The sequence below is a fragment of the Homo sapiens genome, chromosome 4 (assembly GCF_000001405.40).
Source record: "Homo sapiens chromosome 4, GRCh38.p14 Primary Assembly".
Taxonomy (NCBI): domain Eukaryota; kingdom Metazoa; phylum Chordata; class Mammalia; order Primates; family Hominidae; genus Homo; species Homo sapiens.
In genome coordinates, this window is record NC_000004.12 from 106,346,278 (window position 1) to 106,370,083 (window position 23,806).

Below are 23,806 nucleotides of genomic sequence, written 5' to 3' on the forward strand. Positions count from 1 at the left end.
TATTATAAAATTTATACTATGAGTTACTATAAATAGAGGGGTTGTGGGTATTAACCACATGTAAAAAGGTTGTTTACTTTCTAAAGTATGGTTTGTCAGGGGGCAGAGTGCTGTACTAGCAGAACAGGGGCTTTGTTGATCATGTGACATTGAGCAACTTGTGTTTTCTCAGCCTCAGTTTCTTTATACTTAAAATTAGAGTCAGAGTTATGTGAATTTTAGGCAACAATATATGTTCCTAGTGCTTAGAAAATACTAGTCCCTGTCTCATTACTCCTTTCTGTTTCTTTACATCTCACCGAGTAGAATGGGTAACAAATGAAATCCAAAGTAGTTATCATCATTAGCTAGAGAAACCCAAAATTTAAGCCATTCTCCAGTATTGATAAGAAATCTTTAAGCACTAGAGCAGTGATCTAGCTGCTCATTTTGTATTTTGAAACATATTAAAGCATAAGCTGCTTCTGCCAGTTGTAAAAATATAACATATCGAAATATATTTTCATTTCTTCACAGTTTTCCTTTATATTTAATGATAAAATGAGTATATTAATCCATTCATGCACTGCTGTAAAGAAATAACTGAGGCTAGGTAATTTATAAGGAAAAGAGGTTTAATTGGCTCATGGTTCAGCGGGCTGTACAGGAAGCATGGCAGCATCTGCTTCTGGGGAGCCTCAGAAATTTTACTCGTGGCAGTCAAAGCAAGTCAAAGCAAGAGCGAGCATCTTACGTGGCAGGAGCAGGACCAAGAGAGAGAGCGGGGAGGTGCCACACACTTTTAAACAACCAGATCTCAGGATAACTCACTATCATGAAACCAGCACCAAGGAGGAAATCTGCCCCTATAATCCAATCACCTCCACCAGGCCCCACCTCCAACATTGGTGATTATAATTGAACATAATATTTGGGTGGGGACACAGACTCAAACTATATCAATGAGTACCTTACATTTTATTATTTTGATAATTTGGATACAATTCATTAAGCTTTATTACTTATAAAATATAAGAGTAAAATATGATATCTTTAATATACATAAAGAAACAACAACGATTTTATTTTACCAATCAAGAATATAAACTGCTGACATAATAAAAATAAAGTAAATGTTAAAAGTTTGATTAGGTCCAAAAATCAGAAAATGTTGCCAAAACAATTCACTGGAAATCTCTGTGAATAGTCTCTTTAATATTTTTGTATATTAGCTGTGTAATTTTCTTGTGCTTTTTTTCTCCTACACAGGAGAGCCTGACAAGGAGCTGAATCCTAAGAAGAAGATTTGGGAGCAGATCCAGCCTGATCTTCACACTAATGATGAGTGTGTGGCTACATACAAAGGAGTTCCCTTTGAGGTGAAAGGGAAGGGAGTATGTAGGGCTCAAACCATGAGCAACAGTGGAATCAAATAAAATGCTTCCACTACCAAAAGACATTAGAGAAAACCTTAAAAGTAATAAAGAGAAATATATTTGTCACTTATACCTAAAATATGAGTGGCTCATTTTTGCATTACTCTCTTCTAGACTTGACTAGTCATTTACTTGGTATATATTGTTTTCATTGATTGGGGAAACACTAGATTTTTACCTCGGTTTTTGATCATTTATAATGGAGAGAGGAAGTTGCCTATGTTTTGTAATAATTTATTTTTTAGCAGGAATATTGATTAGCAGCTTTTTTTTCTTTATACACATAGATAACTAACTAGATTAATGTTTAGTTTCTTATTTGTAGGCACAGGATGCATGAAATTTCAAGCTCTGGGATTTTTTGTATATTGTGTATCTGTATCAAAAATATCCTCTCCTTTTCAAAAATGACAGGTTGGAAAATGTTTGTCAGACTTATTAACTGGTCATATTATAATAATACTGATAATGACCAACTGCTCATTCTGAAAGCCAAACATAAAAGCTAGGAGAAGTGGCATCTGAACATTTTTGCTTTGCTGCCAGAGTAACCCTGACTAATAATACAATAACAGCAATTTTTTTAAAAAACTGAGATTTCCTACTGGCTTGAAGTTTTTCTATTTAGCAAAATAATTAGTAATAAGTTTTGACTAGGTCTAAAGAATGAACACATTGTAAACAGTTGCCACAGTAGTTTCTAATAAATTGATCATAAAAGCAGCTATCCTTTTTTTTTTTAATTCTAGCTTCTTTTTAAAGATTATTTGGGTACCTAATAAAGGATAATTTATATCTTATTACAGACTGATATTTTGCTTTTTCATGTGTCATCATACTGTCAGTATATTAAAAGAAATTACAGCCTAAAACTTAACATATACCATACATATATATTAAGGTGTCAAATAGCTATTCTCACTCATCTTACAAATATTGTAAGAGCAATAAAAATTAATTGAGGAATTATAAGCCTACAGGTCATCAGCCTTGAGGTGATTACTGATGATTTGGGCTTACACACATGTCAGCAAGATAGGGAGTGTGGATAGGGGAGGGCTGGTAGCTAACAAGGGGCCTCACAGAGAAATATTAGTGACTTTAACCAGGTTTCAGAATCTGGGCCTTACCTTTACAGGTTCAACAAAAGAATGGCATCAATAGAGGCAGAAGTATAGACATTGTTTTAAAAATACACACATGCACACACACACAAAACATTTTAGCATTATAGCTGTCTGAATCCTTCAATAAGAAGGAGAGGCACACACAAATACACACACTCACACAAAACTCAACAACCATAAAACAACCCTGCATGTTATAAAAGGCAGAATTAAATTTTATTTATTTAAATCCATGGAACTCTGGTAGGCCAGGATATATTATAGTACCATTATCAATGTGATATTCTGAAAATATGAACTGAGCGTCATTAACAATTGTTGGTACCTAAACACAAAATGAATTTCAAAAGTTACTTTGTTCTCAAGATATGTCATTCTTTTGGGAATAAATACTTCTGGTGACAAAGTCTTTTGTGAGTTTTTTGCTCTAATTTTTCTCAATTATATTAAATTTCTTTAATATAATTTAAATAATATTTCAACTACCTAGGTAGTTGAAATTTTCCCAACTAAATGTTGAAATACTGTACCCCAGATCAAATTATCTAATGTTTTGTTAGTGAAACCTAAACTGATGATTAAATCGTTCATCAAACCTAGAGATAATAAAAACTATTGGTCTTTTGTTAAAAGCCCATAATGTAGCATCATCAGTAGCTCATTTGTGCTGAAATTTATGACGACTTACTACAAAAGAGTACATTCCAAAAATGTCACATTTGTCTTTCTCAAGTACTATATTATGCCTTACCAAATTATAACAAATGTCCATGCTTCCCTCCATAATTCCCACAGGTCTTTACCATGTAAAAATCCATGCTAAAGAGTGCTAAAGAGAGAAAGAAGTGGAGAATTAATCAGTGATTTTTCAAGTTGTATGAAAGCATTGACCAAGTTATCCATTCAGCCCTATTCAGTACTTGTTTTCACAGAAAACTTAATTCTGTTTTATTTGTATTGCTGGGATGGGAGAGCTCTTACGGAATCAACAAAGAAATAGCATTGTTGGCAAACTGGACATAACACTTCAGCATCTGATGTATTCTGGTTTTTAAGGATTTCAACGATAGGGGGTAGTGTTTGGTGGGAGGATCACTTTGAGCCCAGGAGAGCAAGGCTGCAGTGTGCTGTGATTGCACCACTGCACTCCAAACTAGGCTACAGAGTTGAGACCCTGTCTCAAAAAAAAAAAAAAAAAAAAAAAAAAAAAAAAAAAAAAAAAAAAATCTTAGTTGGGGAGCACCTCGCTGTTTCTTATAACTGGGCATTAAAATGGCCTGAGTATACCTCCTCAATTTTTCAGAGAAATGATACGTCCTTTTAAAATATAAAAGTATCAGAAGTATATAACATTAGCCATGTATTTCACCTACATAAATAGTGACACAAGTCCTGATTCTAAGTGCTATCCAGCAGTATGAAAATTACAACTTTATCACCAAGATGCAAAATAAAAAGAACTAGGAAGGGCAAATTAGTATGCTCAACAGGCAATAATGTTGCAAATTGCTGTCTCATGGAGAAAGCTCTACCCTCCAAAATTTTAGTTAAGGAATAATCATGCCTTCTCTAACAAATGTAAGGGTGATATATTAATAATACATGTCTACTGTCATGGATTTTATTACAGAATTACTATTAAGATTGTTATTGCCTTCTAACTAGTCTTTTCATGTGTTTTATCCACCCCTTAAAAGCTCCTTTTGAGGTAGATCAGCCATTTTACCCCAAAGAGTCAACAGAAAAGTTAAATAAATGCCCCATACAAAGTTGAAACCTGGTTTAATTTTTTTCAGTTCTTACTGATCCTGTGTTCTCCAATACATCATGCTTTCTTAACATGTTAGTTAAATGGTCATGTGGTTTCTTTTATTTGAATGAAAAGTTTAGCTTTACTTTAAATGTTAGAGAAAAATAGTGACATAAAAATACCTAAATTTGAGTAGTTTATGATTAGCTCCTTTAGTGGAATACTTAAGAGATTCTAAAGGGAGAGTTGAGATTATTAAACACTCTTTGGAGTGGTTATGAAGAGAATTTATCAATTTTTTTTCTTTTTACTATTCAAATATATAGGGAGAATTCACTTGGCAAAACCAAGCTGCTGCTGCTGGTAGCAGTTGCCTTTTTGAAGAGGTTTATACCATGATTCTTTGAATAGTGCGCTGTTATTGAGGGCACTGAATGTGTAATGACAGTCCATCCCAAAAGCCAACATGATAGATGTCACTAAGTTCCATACAGATAGATAATTTAAAACAGAAACATAGGTATACTCCATTGTGATACTACTTATAACCCCAAAATTTGCAATAATGATGAAAAGGATAGTTGCTGATGGCTAATATGCCTCTGTACAAAACTGAATCATCTTCAGGTACCAACTTGTTGGAATTAGAAAGAGTCACTTCACATTATTTTGCATTGTACTTTGTATAGTTATGGTTTTTCCTTTGAGTAAATCTTGGCAGAGATAACTCATAGGAGTATAACTCCATAAAAATATTTGGAGGAAGGACCCAGAACAATGAAATAATTGTTGGTGTGAAAGTGAGCCATCTGGAATTTCAGAGTGTGAACTAATTATTGTATATTGTATTTTTTCACCCTTATGTATTTGGGTTTTTTTTTCCCCTTCCTTTCTAACTTCCACCTATCCTAACACACACTATTCCCAATTCTCTAGATGTTTAAGTACAAAAACGTGTGTAAGTATGATTTTTGTCTTCATCAACATCATTTCCTATCTGGCAGGCTGTTGGCCTTAGCAACAGGAGCAGAAACAAGCCTGAGACCCAATAATTGCAAGAAAGAAAAATCCTTTTTAATGAAGCGTTAACTACTCTTGCCCTTCCCATTGCTACATAATGCCTACAGAATTGTTCAAATAGCCATTGTTAATGTCTTATTTCCTCAATGGCCTTTTTGTGATGAACCTTCATATTAAGGCTGCTCTGACAAAGTTTTACATTTGTTTTTGTAAATTGCCTCATTAGAATATCATGCATCCCAGCAGAGAAATGCACCCAATATATATGTGCACTTTGGTTTTCAGATTGCATATTTGGCTGATACTTGTTCATTTAAAATCCCTCAAATTTTCACACCTGGGGAATTTGGAAAGAACAGTGCAAGAGTCATCCAAAATCAACACCACAACTGTATTTCTCTTTGAAAAAGATTAATGAAAAATGCAAACTAAAAGTCACTTTCAATAAGTTTAGCAAAAGGGAATGATTTCAGTAGAAATAACTTTTTTCGAAAACTTTCAGTTTTCCTATAAAAGGATAACATTTTTGTGTTAAAACTGCACATACATTGAAAACAAAAACAAAAACTTTTCAGATACTTTTGGAGAGATTTGTTTTGAAAACAAAGTTGGAGTGAGAATCTGGGAAATAGCAATGCCACATAAAAGCATTAGCTTTATGTAAAAGAAGTACAGTATATCTGAAAATCAGTAGAATAGAAAATCTAAGAAAAATTTTAATATAAAAAATATAGATAAACATAGCTTTAAAAAAGAAAGTCTTTGAAAATGCTGTTTGAGGTGATGTATCTAGAGGAACAAGCCTGGCAAGAGTCAGAGCTGATAGATTGCAGGGGTAATCACTGGTGACCCCACATTGAATGCACTAATGAGACTTTAACACTAGCTGCACAAAAACATCAGATACACTGTCTTCCAATCCTCTAAAATACTCAAAGCACTTTCAAATTAAGCTTTAGTAGAGATTTTTGGTGTCTGGATGAGAACAGCATACAGATTAGGCATCTAGAGGGACATGAGAAAATATTGCAAATAATAGACTCTCATAGGAAAGGTGGCAGGGTACAAAAGATGAACTTGCTGGACATCGCTTATTTTACTTAAAGTAATCCTAGTCTCATGGTTCTTTAGATGCGTAGGGGCAGAAAGATGTGATACCTTTCCTTACCCATCTTAAGAGTCAAAGCTGACACTCCTGTAACAAAAGACAAGAGAAAAACATAAGTGTATTTAATCCAAGTTTTACATGATACACGAGCCCTCAGAAATGAAGACCAAAAGACTCAGGGAAAGCTGTCTATTTTGTGCCTAGGATTGCTGAAGAATGGACAGCCATATAGCAATGTAATTGGATAAAAGAGAAAGTGCTAAACTGTAATAGACTGGTCAGGGAAACCCAGCAAGGCCATCCAGATTCTTCTTGGTGTCTGTAGCATGCCTTCCCCTGGGTATGGGGCAGGACCCTTCTGGAATGAGGGTCATCAAGGGAGAAGGGAGACAGTGACCTTTCTAAGTTTTATGGCTTGCTTTCAGGATAAGAAATTCTGGTTTCTGTGACTTTCTTCAAGGGGAAAAAGAGGTGGAACATAGGAGGGCAGGAGAAGGACAGAAAGACCTTGCCTCTGAAGCTCCTCCAATCTCCTTCAGTTCAAAGTACTCAGCATGCCAAGGTCTCGTATTTGGAATATGGTCTTTTGAGCCCCCAACAGCTGCAAGTTGTAATTACCTCCAGAACAGATGAGTTTATTCAATGAATATGCACACACTGTCATCCAGAAAAAGCTGAACAAACCAGCCTCAAATGGAGAACAGCAGCAAGACGTTCACTTCAGTGCCTTAACATTCATATAATCCAACATCCCCATTACCAACTAACAAAATATTTCCCTACACCCACTATGCTGATTCTTATGAAAAGCTAGGATTGCTATTGCATAATGGTACACAGAAGAGTATGTCTAGAATTTAATGCTTCATGGATATTATACTAGAATTCAGAGTATATTGGGAAAACACACTAACCAGAAAGATGGGAAAAGATGAAGAGGAAGGAAAACAGTGGTAAGATATGGACCTTCTACTATTTGTATATTGAATTAAAAGAGCTAATGATAAACTACCAGGATATATGCAATGTAAGTTATAAGAAAGGACTCTTGAAACAAAAGGGACAACCTGCAAGGGGGAGTCTTGAATTAAATAATTAAATATCTGAGCACAATCTAGTAATATGGTGAAAGGAAAAGCATTCCAAAGTCCACTTTTCTGGGGAGGATAGGAGAAAGAGAACTAGGGCGGAAATGGAAGTATTGTAAGGGTCTTATTTTAATAGTAGGAAATTCTTGGTAAGGGAAATAGTTCATACTGTGTCATCAGGCAATAGCAGAGAAGTATGTACATGATTGTGAAATCAGGGGCAAGAAAATAATCTTTAATGAGGGTGAATTAGAATAGAACTTCCAAATTATCAAGGGGAAATATTGAATTAATAGCAATGTTATCAAGGTAGCAAAACTAAGGAAAAGAAAAAATACAATAAATACACTAATATAAAATAATAAACATAATGTAATATTCTGTGTCCTTGTAAAGGAAGATTTAATATCATGGGGTGTCATTTACCATACACACACACACACACACACACACACACACACACACACAAAATATTTTTTTTTTAATTTAGGAAAAACAATCTAAGAACATGTATGAATGAATGCCTGAGTATAACCAGAAAATATTTTGAAAAAAGAAAACAAGTTTGACCTCCTAGATATCAAGGAATGATATAAAATTATTACAATTAAATCACTTTGGTATTGAGAACAATATAAATAAAATAGGTAACAGAATAGGATTAAAAATACAGGATAAATCCAGAAATAGATCCAGGATATACGTTTCAGTCTCTATATCTAGCTACCTACCTACCATATAAGTAGTAAAAGGATGAATTTATAAATAGAACAAATACAACTGGTTACTCATCTGAAAGGAAGTAAAACTAAAACCAGCTATATCATGTACACGGAAATATATGACTATAAAAAATTTCACAAATTTAGTTTGGCAAAACTTACCATACAAAGTTAAAGGACAAATAATAGATTTGAAAAAACAATTGTTACTCAGAGGACAGACAGAGGGTTAATATCTGTAACATACATAGAGCTCTTCCAATTTGCCAAACAAAAAGTAATCCAATAGAAAAAGAAATGACAAAAGGACAAAGGATGTGAAGAGCCAATTCATAAAAGACTAAGTCTAAATTACCAAAATGCTTACACAAAAATGTTCCAAATACAGAAAATCGTTCCAATTGGGAAATGCAAATAAAGTAACAGTGGGCTGTGGTTTTACATTTATTCAACTTGTTAACAATAGGTGTTCAAGATGATAACACCCATTGATGGGGAGAAAACAACTCACGTTGTTGGAAATCAAGTTTATCACAATATTTTTACAAAGAATCTGTTAAGATATATTAAATGTATATATACTTTTATACTTTTATATATATACTCTTGGGAATATAACTTACAGAAAAATAGTATTAACTAAAAATATATGTACAAGAATAGTTGCTTGAGCATTGCTTTGGGTGACAGAAAACTGGAAAGCTCATCAACAGAGGAGCAGTTGCATAAATTGTTACATAAACACTGTGAAATGTTTTGCAGCCTTTAAAAAGAATGAATTTGGGCTATATTTTAGGTTTGGAAAAATTTAAATGAGGTGGTGTTGAGACAGCCAAGTAAAAAGGGCTCCTGGAGAATCTCCAACTGGCCTGCACACAGAGAGGACAAGGTGGAGCCGCGGGAAGTTCTTGTTGTTTGCAGAGAGGAGGAGCCTAGCCTCTCCTGTCACTGGGTGGTAACCTGGGATTCAATTGGTGAGATGGGGTCCCATTAACAGGAACCCCTCTCACTTTGCTGAGCTTTTTTTCGTTTTTCACCCAATAAATTCCGTTTTTCTCACCCTTCTATGTGTCCATGAGCCTAATCTTTCTTGGTCGTGTGACAAGAACCCAGTTTTTAGCTGAAACGAGGAGAAAGTCCTACAACCGTGTTAAAGTGAAAGAAAAATATATTATGAAGAGTGTAATACAAAAACTTGTTTTTAAGTTGAAAAGCCCTGTATATTTTTATGTGTTTATATGTGCTGTGTGGGGATGATTACCTGGACATGAAGAAAAATAGAAACAGTGGACACCAGGCTTTTGGTTGGCATCAGTTATCTGTAATGGGCAGATTTGCAAGGAGAAGAGGAGAGAGGTAAAGGCAAAGCAAAAAAGCCACATAAGACTGCTAAAAGAAAATAAAGTATGTAATACTACCACATTTAAGTATTTATGTGGAAATGTCTGTGTGTGTATATACACACATGTATACACAGTAGGAACACCTTATCCAGAGGGAATATGTTCCAAGGCCCTAATGGATGCCTGAAGCCAAAGAGAGTACTGAGCCCTAAACATACTATGTTTTCCTATATGTACATTCCTGTGATAAAGTTTAGTTTTTAAATTAGACACAGTAGGAGATTGACAAGAATAACTAAAAATAAACTAGAACAATTACAACAATATACTGTAATAAAAGTTATGTGAATGTGGTCTCTCTCTTAAGAAATCTTATTTATGTAATATTTCCAGATTGCAATTGACCACAGGTAACTGAAACCACAGAAAGTGAAATCACAGATAAGGGGTGATACTGTATATGCAAATATAAAAATAAATAATTCAGGGAAGAATATCACAGAAATCCTCTTTGACTAAAAGCACCTCTCTATTAATCATCAATATCAGGCCAGCCTCACAGAGCTTAAATCCTTAATGTTCTGCACCATATATACTTCCTGAAATGAACTAGTTTTTGTTTTCTAGAAAAGTTAACTGACAACACATAAATGAAGCATATGAAGAACTTAACACCTGAATTCTTTTCCATTCTCCTTTTCTCCACCAGTCACCATTGTTTCAACTTCTTAGCATCAAGTCTCTTTCTCTGTCCCAAGCCCCAACAACCCGTGGGGCAAGTGTCAGTTCTCACTGCACTTCCAAACTCTGCCCCATTGTTGAGTCTCCCACTTCTCAGTCCAGGGCCCACAGCATAGGAGCAAGAGGTCATGCAAAGAAATAAGTGAGATGTTGTTTTAAGTTGGAATCTGTATTATGCTTTCCTATAGAAACATTTTATAAATCTAGCACAAATTCAAACGTGTACTGGAGTTCACATAATATTGTGCATTAAAGTAGGCTTTTGAAGACTACTCTGGGAGAATAACCACCGGCTTATAAGAACAAACTGTAAATTGGGAACTATCTTTGTGAAAAAATTTTATAAATTATGAAGTTCATATACAAATATTTATGAAAGTGATCTAATTTTGACTTGCTGGTGGACTTCACTCTTATCACTGATTGGAATTATTTTCCTTCAATTTTCACTGCTACCATTGGGACCATCCTGAAGCTCTCCACTAAACCATAGTGGCCAACCTTCAAAGGTAGAAGGTCTTTAGTGAAGGCTTTATTCATAGTCAATTATCACAATTGTTATACTCATTTTTGCTAAAGGGCTTGCTCTGAGTTTTTACCAAATGTTTCCAAACTGAAATAGAAACCACAGGTTACAAGGAAGTGGAAAAGAAAATTAACATATTTTAAGCAACTACCATGTGCCATGGCATTTAATCATTACAATAACTATGAGTAGGTATTCCAAAGAAGGAAACAGACTCTGACAAGTTTAAACAATTTTTCTTTTCTGGCATCAAGTAAGCAGTGGAGCTAGTTCCTTTTTAATGGATAATAACTAATTATTTTTAACTTTTATTTAAATATAGCATATACAAGTAGTTTATAAATCACAAGTGTTTGTTGTTGCATTTTCACAAAGTGAACAAATCCTGTGAAACCAGGCTCCAAATCAAGAGAACAAAAGAACATGACCAGAATCTCAGAAGCCACATCAAGTGTAACCTTTCACTCACAATCTCCTCCCCAAGGTTAACCACTCTCCCAATTTCCAGCACTTCTACCATCAGAGTAGTTTAGATTACATTTGTTTTACTGTTTTTGAACTTTCTGCACATGGAATCATGGAGTATGTACTCTTTTATGTCTGGCTTATTTTTCAACATTATGTTTGGGCAATTCACTGGTATCGTTACATATAGTTGAGCTTGCTTATTCTAATTACTTATTCTAATATCCCACTGTGGGAATATACCACAATTTACTTAACCATTCTAATATTAATAGACATTTGAATAGTCTGTATGTTTAGCTTTTGAATAGTAGTTCCATGAACATTATTGTGCATACATGTCTTCTAGTACACAAATGTACACATTTATGTTGGGTATACACTTAGGAGTGTAATTGCTATGTCATGGGATTTGCATTAGAAATCTTGAATCATTGATGTTCTTTTTAACTTCTAGTTTTCCAAAGTGGTTATACCAATGTACACTCTCACCAGCAGCATATCAGAATACTTATGGTCCACATTCATGTCAATAAAGGCATTCTTTGTAGCTAGGTTTCTGACTCCAATACCCAATGCTCCTTTCCTTTCACCTAAATTTTATTTAAATGTAAGAACTTGGTAACAGTTCTCTTTTATAAATTCCATGATTCTTTCTAAGATTTTCATTCTTTGTTCATTGAGTGATTTTCCTTTTTTGTACTGGAAAACGTATTTGTGCTGAATAGAATTTAGCAGCGTTTTCAGGGTATCAGAGGCCTCATGTAAATATTTATCTTCAGTAAGCCCAGCCTCTTCTATTTTTTCTGCATGGGTAAAAAGAATGGCTGTGTAATTCATCCAAGCATGTCCAAGAAGTTCCTGAAAGAGAGAAGTTAGATAACTATTGAACTTGAACTATATTCCTCAAAAATGAGCAAAGGATTTATTACGGTCCAATATAGATAGCCAGCAGATCCATATTATTATGTTTCTGAAAGCTGATATACAATGTAGGAAATGAAGACAGGGTCAAGTATTTTAAGTAAATGGAGGGAAAAGGCTTGACTTTCTGAAAAAGGCAGGATTAAACAGAGAATTAAATTCTCTCTTTTATTTTACTATGATAATTGATATATACACAACCTCAAAACTGCATATTATCATTGCTGCATAGATTTCTCAACATTCAGTAATCATTTATACTTGTCTGACTACCTGAGTCCATTAAAGCCACTGAATTTAAGTCGGAGGACCTTAGTCAAGGGAATTGTTTTATCTTTTACTTTTATCATTATCATTAAAAGCATCTACTAAAGATATAAAATTACATAATCTGTTAAGAATCTATTGATTAATCAGGTGACATGTAATGGAAAAGCTCAGATAAAAATACATTTGGTGATTTGGACGAACCACAAAATATTATAACTGTGAGTCTCATCTTCTTGACTTCACATGCTTAGAATGGAACCCAATTTATCTGATGACTTCCTCTAATGTGGTTGAAAAACATTGAAGACTGGCATTCCTTTGTTTAGTAATATGTGGAAGTTGGTTATGTAATAAATTCTTGTTTGATTAGTGAATATAAGCTGATATAAAGCAGAAGTAACAGCATGTGGCAAATTGTTCATGTAATATAAAAGGCATCTAGAAATAACCCTTGAACTTTTTGGGATATTTCTAAAGTTACATGAAATCACAATGTGACAACAAAATAACATTACCTCCATTCCGAACACTCCTATTACCAAAATATTTCCAAAGCTACTACTAGTTTATGGCAAGAAAAATACAAAATGCCTAGGAATAAACATAATAAGAAACACCCAAGACCTCTAATAATCAGAAGAAAGAAAGAAAGGAGAAAAACTAACATTTAGTGCCAGATATTATGCTAAGCACTTTACATGCGTTACCTCTTTTGAAGCTTAATGCAATTATTTGTGGGAGATACTATTATTATCTCCATTATGATATTGGCAAACTGACTTATAAAGACTTTGAGTTATATGTATTAGTACAAACTCTGGTTTTAAAAAATTATTGAAAATATTGAAAGACAGTCTGGGAAATCATTTTCAATGTACCTAAAAAATACAGGATTAGAATTTATAATATGGAAAAATTGAAAACAAAGAAAAAAGAAGAAGGAAATAAGAAAGAAAACAGAAAAGGAAGAAAGGAGAAAGGAAGGAAGGAAGGCAAGCAGGAGTAAGGAAAGAAGGAATCTGGATAGGTAAATCTAACATGAAAATACTCGTGAGAACTACGGGACAAAACATTTAAAATTAGAAACATCACAATCATGGTCACCAATTACAACTGATACAGTCTGGCTTTTATCAGATTCATTTATTTATACATCAATTTCTACAACTTCATAGTGAACTCTTTGAAGGCAAGATTCATGTCTTTCCATATCAATCAAAGCTTTTAGCACATTGTAAACTTTCAGTAAACATCTGTTAAATTAATTTGGAATTTAGACCCTCATTGTCATCTCAAATAGAAGTCTTAGGGTTCTATTTATTTCTTTTGAGGTTTTGGTTTTGAAGTATAATTAATCTTTGTAAAGCTTCTTTTTTTTGCAGTTTATCATCATGAATTTGCCTGTAGTCTGGACTATTTTCTATTCAGAGGGACTCTTTCAAGGAATAGGCCCAAACTTTTTCTTCATATGTGTTCAAAATTTTTCTATGTACACCCACCATAGAATAACTGCATATTTCTATTCCTTCTAAAAATACCCTGCTTAAAGTTTCACAATCAGTATATTAGGGAATAATTACTGTAATAGATTATAAACTTTAAAAAATAAATTTTTAAAAAATTAGTATCCATATAATGTCAGCATCCCATTTTGCCTAATGGTAACATAGCAAAATTAGCAGACCTCTTTAGAGTTTGTTGTATATTCTGTATATTGTTAACAGGTCTCTGCTGGAAGAGGAGTCACAGAGTTGCAAAGTAAATGAGCAGTGATGTTATGGGTTGAATTGCATCCTCCGCCAAACTCATGTGTTGAAATTCCGATCCCCAGTTCTTCCGGATGTGATCTTATTTGGAAATAGGGTCATTGCAAATATAATTATTTAAGCTAAGGTCATTAGGGTGAGTCCCTGTCTAGTATGATTGGTGTCCTTATAAAAAAAGGGAAATTTGGGCAAAGACGCAAGTCCCGGGAGAGTGCCATGCGTACGTGAAGATAGCCATCTACAAGCCAAAGAAAGAAGCCTGGAACAGATCTTCTCTCACAGCTATCAGAAGGAGACAACCCTTACAACACCTTCATTTCAGACTTCTAGCCTCCAGAACTGAAAGACAGTAAATACCTGCTGTTTATGCCACCCAGGTTGTGGTACTTTGTTACAGGAGCCCTAGCAAACTAATGCAAGTGGCTAAAAAAATTAATAAAGTACTAAGTATATTAGATCTGGCCTCTGGGAATACAGCAATCCCTGGATCATTTGCATCAGAATCACCTGGGAGGCTTTCTAAAAATGCATCAGAACCATTAGGGCTGGAGCCTGGAATCTGAATTTTATAAAGCATTTTAGATGATTTATTCCTTCTGCAAATATTTATTGAGGGTCTACTTTGTTCTAGGCATGCTCTACATGGTAGGGACAGGTGTGGAACAAGACAGACATATTCTGTTTACAGTTAGTGGAGATTTTTGTGTACTAAATTAACTTGGGAAGGGAGACAGACAGGAAAGAAATACTTTGAATTTGTTTCAATTGCAAGTGTGATAGAAATTATGTTAGCATTATAAAGGTGATCATTTTGCCCATTTTGGGGTGGAGGTGGGAAGTAAGGGTAAAAAGGAAAGACCAGACAAGATGTCTTGCATGTGATGATGCAGTCACCAGATTCTTAAAAAATACATAGGAATTAACAAGGTAATTAATGTAATCAAGCATGATTGAGATTGTACAGCATTGAGATTTTATTTCTAAACAAGTACAGCTATTGATCTTTGATCACTCTTATCTCTGAAAGATTATCAAATTTAGAGCCAGACCTGATATTCACCAAGTACGCTATGAATATGGTCATACTGATTGTCAGATATCAAAATGTTTTCATACAAATTATTAAATAGCTACTGCTCTTAACTCCTTGAGAGCCATCCTAAACTTACCCTTAGATATGTATTGGCTGATGTGTAGATCATACTTGTTATTAAATATTTTTGAGCCCCAGTGACTTAATGAATAAGGTATTTGCCTCCTTAAATATTTTTGAAATACAGTATTGCTACAATAAATGTGCATGCTAAATAAACTATTTGGCACAAACAATCCTTTCTTGAGTTATATATCGTAACACAGAATTATTTTCTTTCTAGGTTAGTACTTAATGAAGTAAATGGTTTAACTTTCATAGTATTTCTTTTGTTCCTGTTTTTCTGTATTGTAACATTAACATGTTCCCTTTTGGTCTCCACCAGACATTTCCCATACTTTAAACCACAATCTCATTCAGAGAACGTGAGTTAAATCACCTAAGGATAATAGATTTGTAAGTGCCATGCCACTTAAAAGTCCATGTGTTCAGCCACTGGGAAGTTTTTACACATTTATTTATGAAAGGATGCTCATACCTTAAACTGTGAGAGAAATTGCACTTTTGAATTACTGCCAAAAACAGAAGAGAGTGGTTGATTTAGCTTAAAATCTTTAAGTCGATTTTGGCCAGAAAATAGTTGAATATTTGAAAGTAGTGTTGCTTGCTGAATAGTCATCACGTTAGTGGCCAAACATGTTCTCTATGGACCCAGAGAAAGAATCATTACAGTTGATTGATACCTCACATAAAAATCCAAAAGCAAGATAAGTTAATGTAAGTTATCTGGTGTTAATAATTTAAATATAGTACTAAGCTAGATGAAAATTTTATGATCAATCATGAATTGTTTGGTTTGAGTGCTAATGGGTATGAGTCCATTTAGTCCTTTTGGGACTACTGGTTAGGATATAAACTTTGTTATCCAGGAATTATGTTCATTTTCCCAGGACCTCACCAGCCCTGCCCCATTTGTTTGTGGTTGATGAAATCATAGCATCTGGACTTTTTAGGGTGAAACAAACAAACAAAAAGCCAACTATTACATCAACTGAGAAAAAAATTATCACGGAACAGGAGGACAATGAGGACCATTTTTTTATACTTTATGCTATTCCCTTACTCTCACCCCAATTAAAACATTACATTTTCCTTTTCAGAGAGCCAAAGCTGAATGATAATTTCTCATTAGGCCAGATCCAGAGAATATTCAACCTCAGAGATCATCTTATAAACTGCCTCATTTTACAGATGAGGTATTGAGGACTTACGGTGTTAAATGACTTGGCCAAAGTCATATGGCTGATTATTGACAGGCTTGGACCTGGAACCAAGGTCCCCCATCTTTCCCACTAAATTGGGGCTCTTCAATTTAACCATACTAAGCCAGTGAAGATTTTTCCAGATTTTTTTTCTAAATTAATAAAAAAGTTACTTCTTATGTTTATAAATCAGGGCCACGTAAATTTGATTTTACTCTTATTTTCTTCATAAGTCTACCAGGATAAACCTAAAAAACACTATTTCCTAATTTTAGGATAAGACAAATACTAACAATGAAATAATAATGGCCAGAGCTATTTGCTGTGCACTTGCCACGTGCCTGTGCCTAAGCTATATCATTTACCGTTGAAAGGGCATTAATCCCACAAGTAACCCAATGAAGCAGACACTACTGTCTTTCTCAATTTACCAATGAAGTTTACAGAAGTTACTTGCCCGAGATCACAAAGCAAATAAGTAGCTAAGACTTGAATACTTTAGAACCCATCTCGTAATCTCTATGCTATCTTGCCCATATCCAGTAGTTCATTTGAATGAGTACTCATTCACAATCTCAGTAGTGATCATAACAATAAAAACAACAATACTAGTAATACTTTACCATTTTCTGTGACCTACTGTAAGTAGGCACAATGCTGAGCATGATGTATTTATTAAATATAATGCTCAGAACTCTTAACATACATAAAATTATCTCCACATTACAAGTAAGGAATTGAAACCAAGAAAGTTTTAGTAACATTTATAGTCATACACCTATGAAGTAATTAGGCTTGTTTTTTTAACTAAATTCTAACAACTAAGCCCACAATCTTCATTTAGTATTTTCAGGCTCTGAATTAGCTTTTCCGAGCTTTTTGTAAACACATTCGTCTGCAACATCAACAGCTCGGTTGTTGATGATGAAATAAAAGTACATGCTTGAAACTTGCTTGTACGCAGTAATAATACAGAATACCATAATGGGGGGGGGGGGGCGGAAATGGACCATAGGCAATACCTAGGTACAATTCCTACTGCAGCTTGGCTGTATGCCAGCTCTTTCCTTGAGGTGACTATATTATATCTTCTCTGATTCATTATTTGTGGGTTTATAAACATTCAAATGAGATTCCAGATAATATTTGAATAAATTCTTCCTTCTATTTCTTGATTTTGGGGACATGACTCACTGATATCTCTTTCATTTTACTGTAAATTAATAAAGGCCTAACAAAAAGAAAAAGGGATCATTTGGGGAAAATGTTTCCATCGTCACAGCCAGTAGAATATAACTCCTCTGCAAAATATTAGAGTACAAATTGGGGAAGATATTTAAAGAGACAACCGGGAGGCATGGGAAAGAAGAAGCTACTTCTCTGACTCTGGCTTGGTAGGCTCCTTCTACAGTACTAGTCAGTGCCCCTGAAAAGGGGTAAAAGAAAGAAGGCAGATACTCCATACTCCATTTTGCATCAGCCAGGAAGAAAAAGAAATCCATAGTGTGCCTGAAACCTGAGGACCTAACAGCTTCTTGCTCCTTCCTAACAGCTGCTGGTCCTGTTGAATATTCAGACACTCTGCAACAGCTTCCAATCTGTGAGCACATACAGATGGCTGCCACCAGTATCTGAGGCACCTTCAGGAAGATCACAAACAGCCAGCCTGTGCTTAAGTGACCATCAACCAAAGACCGTAGCAGAACCCTGGAATAGGTCTGCAGTGCTCCCAGGGATCATAGGCCACTCAAGATTATTAAACCTTGGCTGCTGATTTTCTTGGGAGACGGAAGTTATTTATTTCAGAAAGAAATATTTGGGATCTGAGCTTTGCCCTAGCTCATCTCCTTGCTGCCTTCAGTTCCTGAATTGCATACTGATTTGGAAGGCATCTGTAAGAGAAGACTATATGCCAAATATTGTTTTAAACGACCAAAGACATGTATGAATTGAGTTCACATATATAAAAAAGACTCACAGATGACATTATTGTCCCATATGCTAAAACTATTAAAACCTATTTTCAAAATGTATGATATTTAAAATAACCTTTTGGGCTCAGCATAGGTTCATGGTAGGGAAATATTGAGACGTATGGAAAGAGTCAGGGTAGCTTTTGAAAAAGAGTTGTTTATGTGTTTACTGCATTTACTGAATTATATCCATCTATAGCCTCATCTAAATGTTTACTTAATAATAGCTTTAAATGAATTTTTAAGAACTGTCTAAAGATTATACTGGTGTCATGGATGCAGGCTTCCCACCACTTGATTTCTACCAGAAACATTGCTTGAAATACAGGCTTTCATAATTTGGAGGAGGCTTGTGGGCTTTCTTAGATCCCATACTGTTTCTTAATTGCAATCATCTTCTATTCTTCCTTACTTTTGTATAGCAGGTCCTTGGTTTTTCAGGAGTTACATGATGAGCATTTTTTATGCTCCTGTCACCCTGATTTTTCTGCTAGTTTCTTGTGATTATACATATGGCTGGGTTTTTTTTTTTCATTTTTAGAAACATGCACAGTTACTGAAAAACAATGCGTGTATCTGTCACGTAGAAGTATCTTTTCTAGTTAAAGGAAAAAATCTTCATTAAAACCAAGTAACTATCTTTCTGGGCTGTAACAGGGCCTATGTCAGTATGAGCTGAGACTGAACCAAAAGAAGGGTAGCATTTTTACAAGTTCTTCTTGAACAGAAAAGATCTGTTCACCATTCAGTATAAAGTTTAACTGTGGAGCTTCTAATAGACCTGGTGTCTCTGAGCTCAGTGACTCATTGAGGCTCTTGAGTAATACTAGTGAAGTCCAGCAGCTAAATTTAGATTGACTCAGACTGAAGAATCAACAGATTGAATAGAATAGAGCAGCTCAATGAATAGTTTCCAGGAATTGTTAGGAATAGTTTCCAGGAATTGTTAGTAATAGTCTATACAGGGCTGTGTGGACTATTGTTAGTAATAGTCTACACAGGGCTGTGTGGACTATTGTTAGTAATAGTCCACACATCATATGCACACACACACATGTACACACACGTACACACACACACACACACACAAACTCCCAACTCCCTCCATCTCCTAGCTGTGGTCATGTCCAGGCCTCTTATCCAGCTCCTCTCCTTATTCACAGTTGAAGACTGTGAATAAGCCTCCAACTTAGTGACCTATAATGAATGAACAAGCAAACAAATTGGAATAGACCACCAGGGAAAGGTGGCATGTGTTATTTATGCTCAACCTGAGGTCCCTATGGTCTTCTTTTGGCTAGAATGGAGCAGTCACTTATGCTACAACTGATAAGGCAAGCAAAGAATCTGAAGTTCTGAATTGTTTCCCTATGAATAATGCATAACTCTCCCTTGAATGCTCACTATGACTTAAGTCTTATGAAACCCCCTCTTTTTCATTATACTACTTTGGCACTTAATGCATTGTCTTTTTCTGGTTTGCTTATCTAATTTTCCTCTTCTAGACTGTAAACTTTCTGAAGGAAGGGCTCATGTCTCATTTACCAGTAATTAAGCACTGTTTAGATGCTCAATAGAGTGTTCAATGACCAAGTCAGTGAATGAGCACCCATTTCCTGGTGAACTATAAGAGATTGTCCCTTTGATGCTGAATGGATGCAAGTCAGTGTTTAAGTTCAACGGTTCTACGACCTGACTGTTTTTGAGAAATACATGGAAAATTATGAAAATACAGATATGCAGGCTCCACTCCTGAGATTCTGTTTCAGTACGTTTTGGATCAATCTTCTTTAACAAACAGCCCAGTTGATTCTGATGCAGACAGTCCAGGGACAACATGTTACAAACTTATTTGGGTTTTTTGTTCTAGGAGTTTGAGGCTTGGTTAACCTCTGAAGTTTAATATCTCAATTTTTTTTTCCTACAAACCAGTTGTAAAATGACTGATTGGGTTCCTCTGAAGGAGGTCATAAAAATGACTTGGGAAAATCAAATAATTTTTACTGACAATTCCTAGGTGACCAACACTTAGTTGTATAAATTATTATGTACTATATTATTATATACTAATAGTATAATAATAATAATATTATTATTATTATTATTATACTATTAGGATAATGTCCTCCAAGAAGTAATAATGGCATTAGTGTAATTGCATCTTAGTATTACCTGGATCATCTGGACTGGGTCAGTTACTTCCTGCCCACAGAAAGGCACATCTGCTCTCTGAACCAGGAGTGCAAGGTGGAGACCCCCTTGCCCGAAGTGATGTGCCAGAGCCTCTTTGACTTCCTGTTTCACATACTTCTTGCTCAGCCTGCTGTGTGGATAACCTGGAGTGTCCAACACCTGGACCTGCAGGGCTACCTCTAGCCCACCTCGACGCATGAAGCTGTGGAGGTGACAACTGCGGCCCAGGCTACAACATGTGGTCACAGAACAGGGAGCAAAGCTGCTGTGAAAGTCTGTGCTTCCCAGCAGAATGTTTCCAGCAGAACTTTTTCCACTCTGAGTCATGCCAAAGAGGGCCAAGTTGATGATCATCTTGTTGGGGTCTGTCATGGCTGTAGGAAAACAAAGGCATAGCACGCATAATTAGGCTTCTACATTCCCCCAATGTAAGTTTTCTTACCTGGCCTGGTTGCACTCCAAGTACGATTTTAGATTTGTTTTCCCTTCATTCGTAGTGACTAAAGCATGGAGGAGGACTGCTCCACTAAAGTGGAGATCCCCCAGTGACAGAAGGGAATGTGGAATAATTGTAGTTTACAATGAGAAGGGAGAGAGAAGTCAAATACAGATAAGGAAGGATTTAGGAAACAGAAAAAATCCCAAATTACATGAAGATCATAAAAACCATGTTTAAGAGAAATATGTTAACTCATCAATGTGGTAGGTGAGTTGGTTTAGGAAAAGGTGTTGAAGTTCCTGAGCTCAGGGGCAAAGCTAGCAGTAGTATTTAAAAGTTATTCACTATTGGAGAAGTAAGAATAGAACAGTAGAAGAAACAACCCTTCTTGCTTTCTAACAACATCCCCCATCTTCCCACTTCCCGACCCACTGCCTGAATACACAAGTGGTATCTGCAAAAAATCATCCTTCCTGATTTCCTGAATGCTTCTTTCCTATGAAATATGAATAATGTTAAAGAAGACTTCTGTTTCTGCTTACCAAATTTTTTTTTTTACAACCAGGGAACATTGGTGAAAATACAAACTACTTGTAATTTCTGTTATAAAATAATTAATAAATCATCTCTATGTTCCATTAGTGTAAGTGTTGGCTCTTTAATAAAGAAAGTAAAGCCTAACATATTGGGCAGCTCAGTTAGAAGGGGGGAGAATCTTGGGAGAATCTATTCCATGTACAATACCTGTACAGTGGCCGATCCTTTGTACACTGCATGATCCCCCATAGCATTTTAAGGTCATTAATCATTTTCACTAGATTTATAAGCAGAGTTACTTGCCAATTGCTAAAACTGCCCACGCTACCAATTCAGAAATAAAGACATTTTAATATTGCATATTTATTATTTTTGCCTAGATCTTGTAACTTTATTACACAGTTTTAAGTACCGCAGGTCCTTCTTGTCCTTTAATGCCCCTCACTCCATTATACCCACACGCTAACGTGAACACCTTGAAGGAGCTTCATACCTCCATAAAAAGACACTCATTTTGCGGGTCCCTCCAGTTCACACCAGCTCTCCCAGCTCATTCAGTGGTGTCAACTGCAGTGAGATGCAGTCAATTTCTTTTTACTCCTAAATCAGGGTGTAATGTTTTTAGAAAATTAATTATTCAATCCCAATCCATTTGCTATATTTCGCTTACCTTTTCCAGTCTTGAAAATGCTTTCTCCACAAAGACGTCTCTCGCCCTGGCACAGTTGTTCTTTCATATGAACTTTCACCTTCTGATAGCGTTATTGTACCACTCTGGGACTGACACCGTATGTATTTTATTTAGTTAATTTATTGCCAGACAGCCTCTTTATAAATGATTAGTTGTCTTCCCCTAATCAGCACTGACTTTTTTATGACACTTGACAGACTTGTAATTTTAATAGGTACAGAAATATTCTATTTTTAGTATTTTTTTATTTTGTGCATTTCTTATAAGTAACAACTTATTTATAGCATAAGGAAATGCAATATGGGTATTAAACAGAAATTAGACATTCTTTAGCAATGATTACAATTTTTTCATGATCTACAATTAGATCATGACTTCACATCAGTATTTAGTTCATAATACTTTTCAAATTTTTAAAGATAATTCTTTTTGCTATATTCATATAATAAAAAGTATTATTTTATCCTAATTTATGAAACCACTGGAATGATTATATCAGCACATGTAGCTTTCATATCAATTAATGATAGTATATTTAAGGAAAGGAGTAAAATTAACTATAACTTGAAGTCAAATACATTTTTTCTTAAAAACTTGAGTTTTATTTTCTTACTGAAAACTCAAATTTTATTTTTTCTACTTCTTAGTGTATTACCCATACTGATCCAAAATACTTTCTTGGTGCTTTTAGTAGTATGGTTATAGTCTGATTCATCTTCTCTTGTATTTCTCAAAAAGTCGATGAAATATGTATTTCTGGGTGAAAGAAACTTGGAGACATCTGGAGTGCCTTATGACTTCACGGGCAGAGAGTTAAAAAGTCTTCTTCCTGTGTAGCTGTGACAAGGAAGGCATGAACTGCCTTCCTTCATCTGATAAACACATTGGGCTTCTTGAATGAAGTGGAAAGAATCTCCCCCAGGTGGCAGTAGCAGCCTGTTTCCTAAGAAGTGATTTTTGAGCCAGGATTTATTTTAATTTTTCTTCCTTAAACTGTAAACGGACATTCTTCAACCATCTACATAAACACATATTAATTGTGTTGGGGATTTTTTGAAGAAGAACAAAGCCAAACTTTCTTTCCTATGTTCCTTATAGAACACAGCAAGCATAAGCTCTTAGTTTTTCAACCACCCCCCTGCCCGACTTCAAAGTTACAGTTTAAATCATTTGCTGAATGCAACAGCTGACTGTTAAAAAATAAAGTTCAGAATTCACGAGCATGATTATAAGTTCCAGTAAAATTGAAATTTTTTTGATAATTTTTCATAAGTCTAACGCAGGTTTTAGATTTGAGTCAATTTAGAGGTCTTATAGCAGAATAATTTATTATTAGATGATGTTGAAAGATTG

General features: G+C 35.0%; 2 protein-coding genes across 6 annotated transcripts in view, besides 1 other annotated feature; one reads left to right on the forward strand and one right to left on the reverse strand.

Moving 5' to 3' along the window:
• AIMP1 (aminoacyl tRNA synthetase complex interacting multifunctional protein 1) overlaps positions 1–3,179 on the forward strand; it is a 33,913-nt gene extending 30,734 nt beyond the window's left edge. For all 5 annotated transcript variants that reach the window (NM_001142415.2, NM_004757.4, XM_047416410.1 and 2 more), the window contains exon 7: positions 1,249–3,179. In NM_001142415.2, coding sequence (NP_001135887.1) covers positions 1,249–1,415 — 167 coding nt within the window. In that variant the 3' untranslated portion in view covers positions 1,416–3,179. The remainder of the gene's footprint in view (positions 1–1,248) is intronic.
• On the reverse strand, positions 11,115–22,501 carry GIMD1 (GIMAP family P-loop NTPase domain containing 1). Its single transcript, NM_001195138.2, has 3 exons — positions 22,433–22,501; positions 20,766–21,160; positions 11,115–12,166 (listed from the first exon to the last, which is right to left on the reverse strand). The coding sequence occupies exons 2-3, from the start codon at positions 21,156–21,158 to the stop codon at positions 11,906–11,908; spliced, it is 654 nt and encodes a 217-aa protein (NP_001182067.1). The 5' UTR covers positions 21,159–21,160; positions 22,433–22,501; the 3' UTR covers positions 11,115–11,905.
• Positions 23,233–23,282: an enhancer, noted in NCBI's record as "active region_21788". NCBI's record gives its function as "activates an Ori minimal core promoter by ATAC-STARR-seq in GM12878 lymphoblastoid cells {active_cell/tissue: GM12878}" and the evidence as "EXISTENCE:reporter gene assay evidence [ECO:0000049][PMID:35858748]".

Bases quoted from the DNA above. Each gene is read 5' to 3' on its own strand.
- GIMD1 (NM_001195138.2), bottom strand. From the start codon at position 21,158: ATGACAGACCCCAACAAGATGATCATCAACTTGGCCCTCTTTGGCATG. The intron at 12,167-20,765 runs GTAATACTAAGA...TCTCTCTTTCAG, and splicing joins ACCCAGTCCAGATGATCCAG to GAACTTCTTGGACATGCTTG.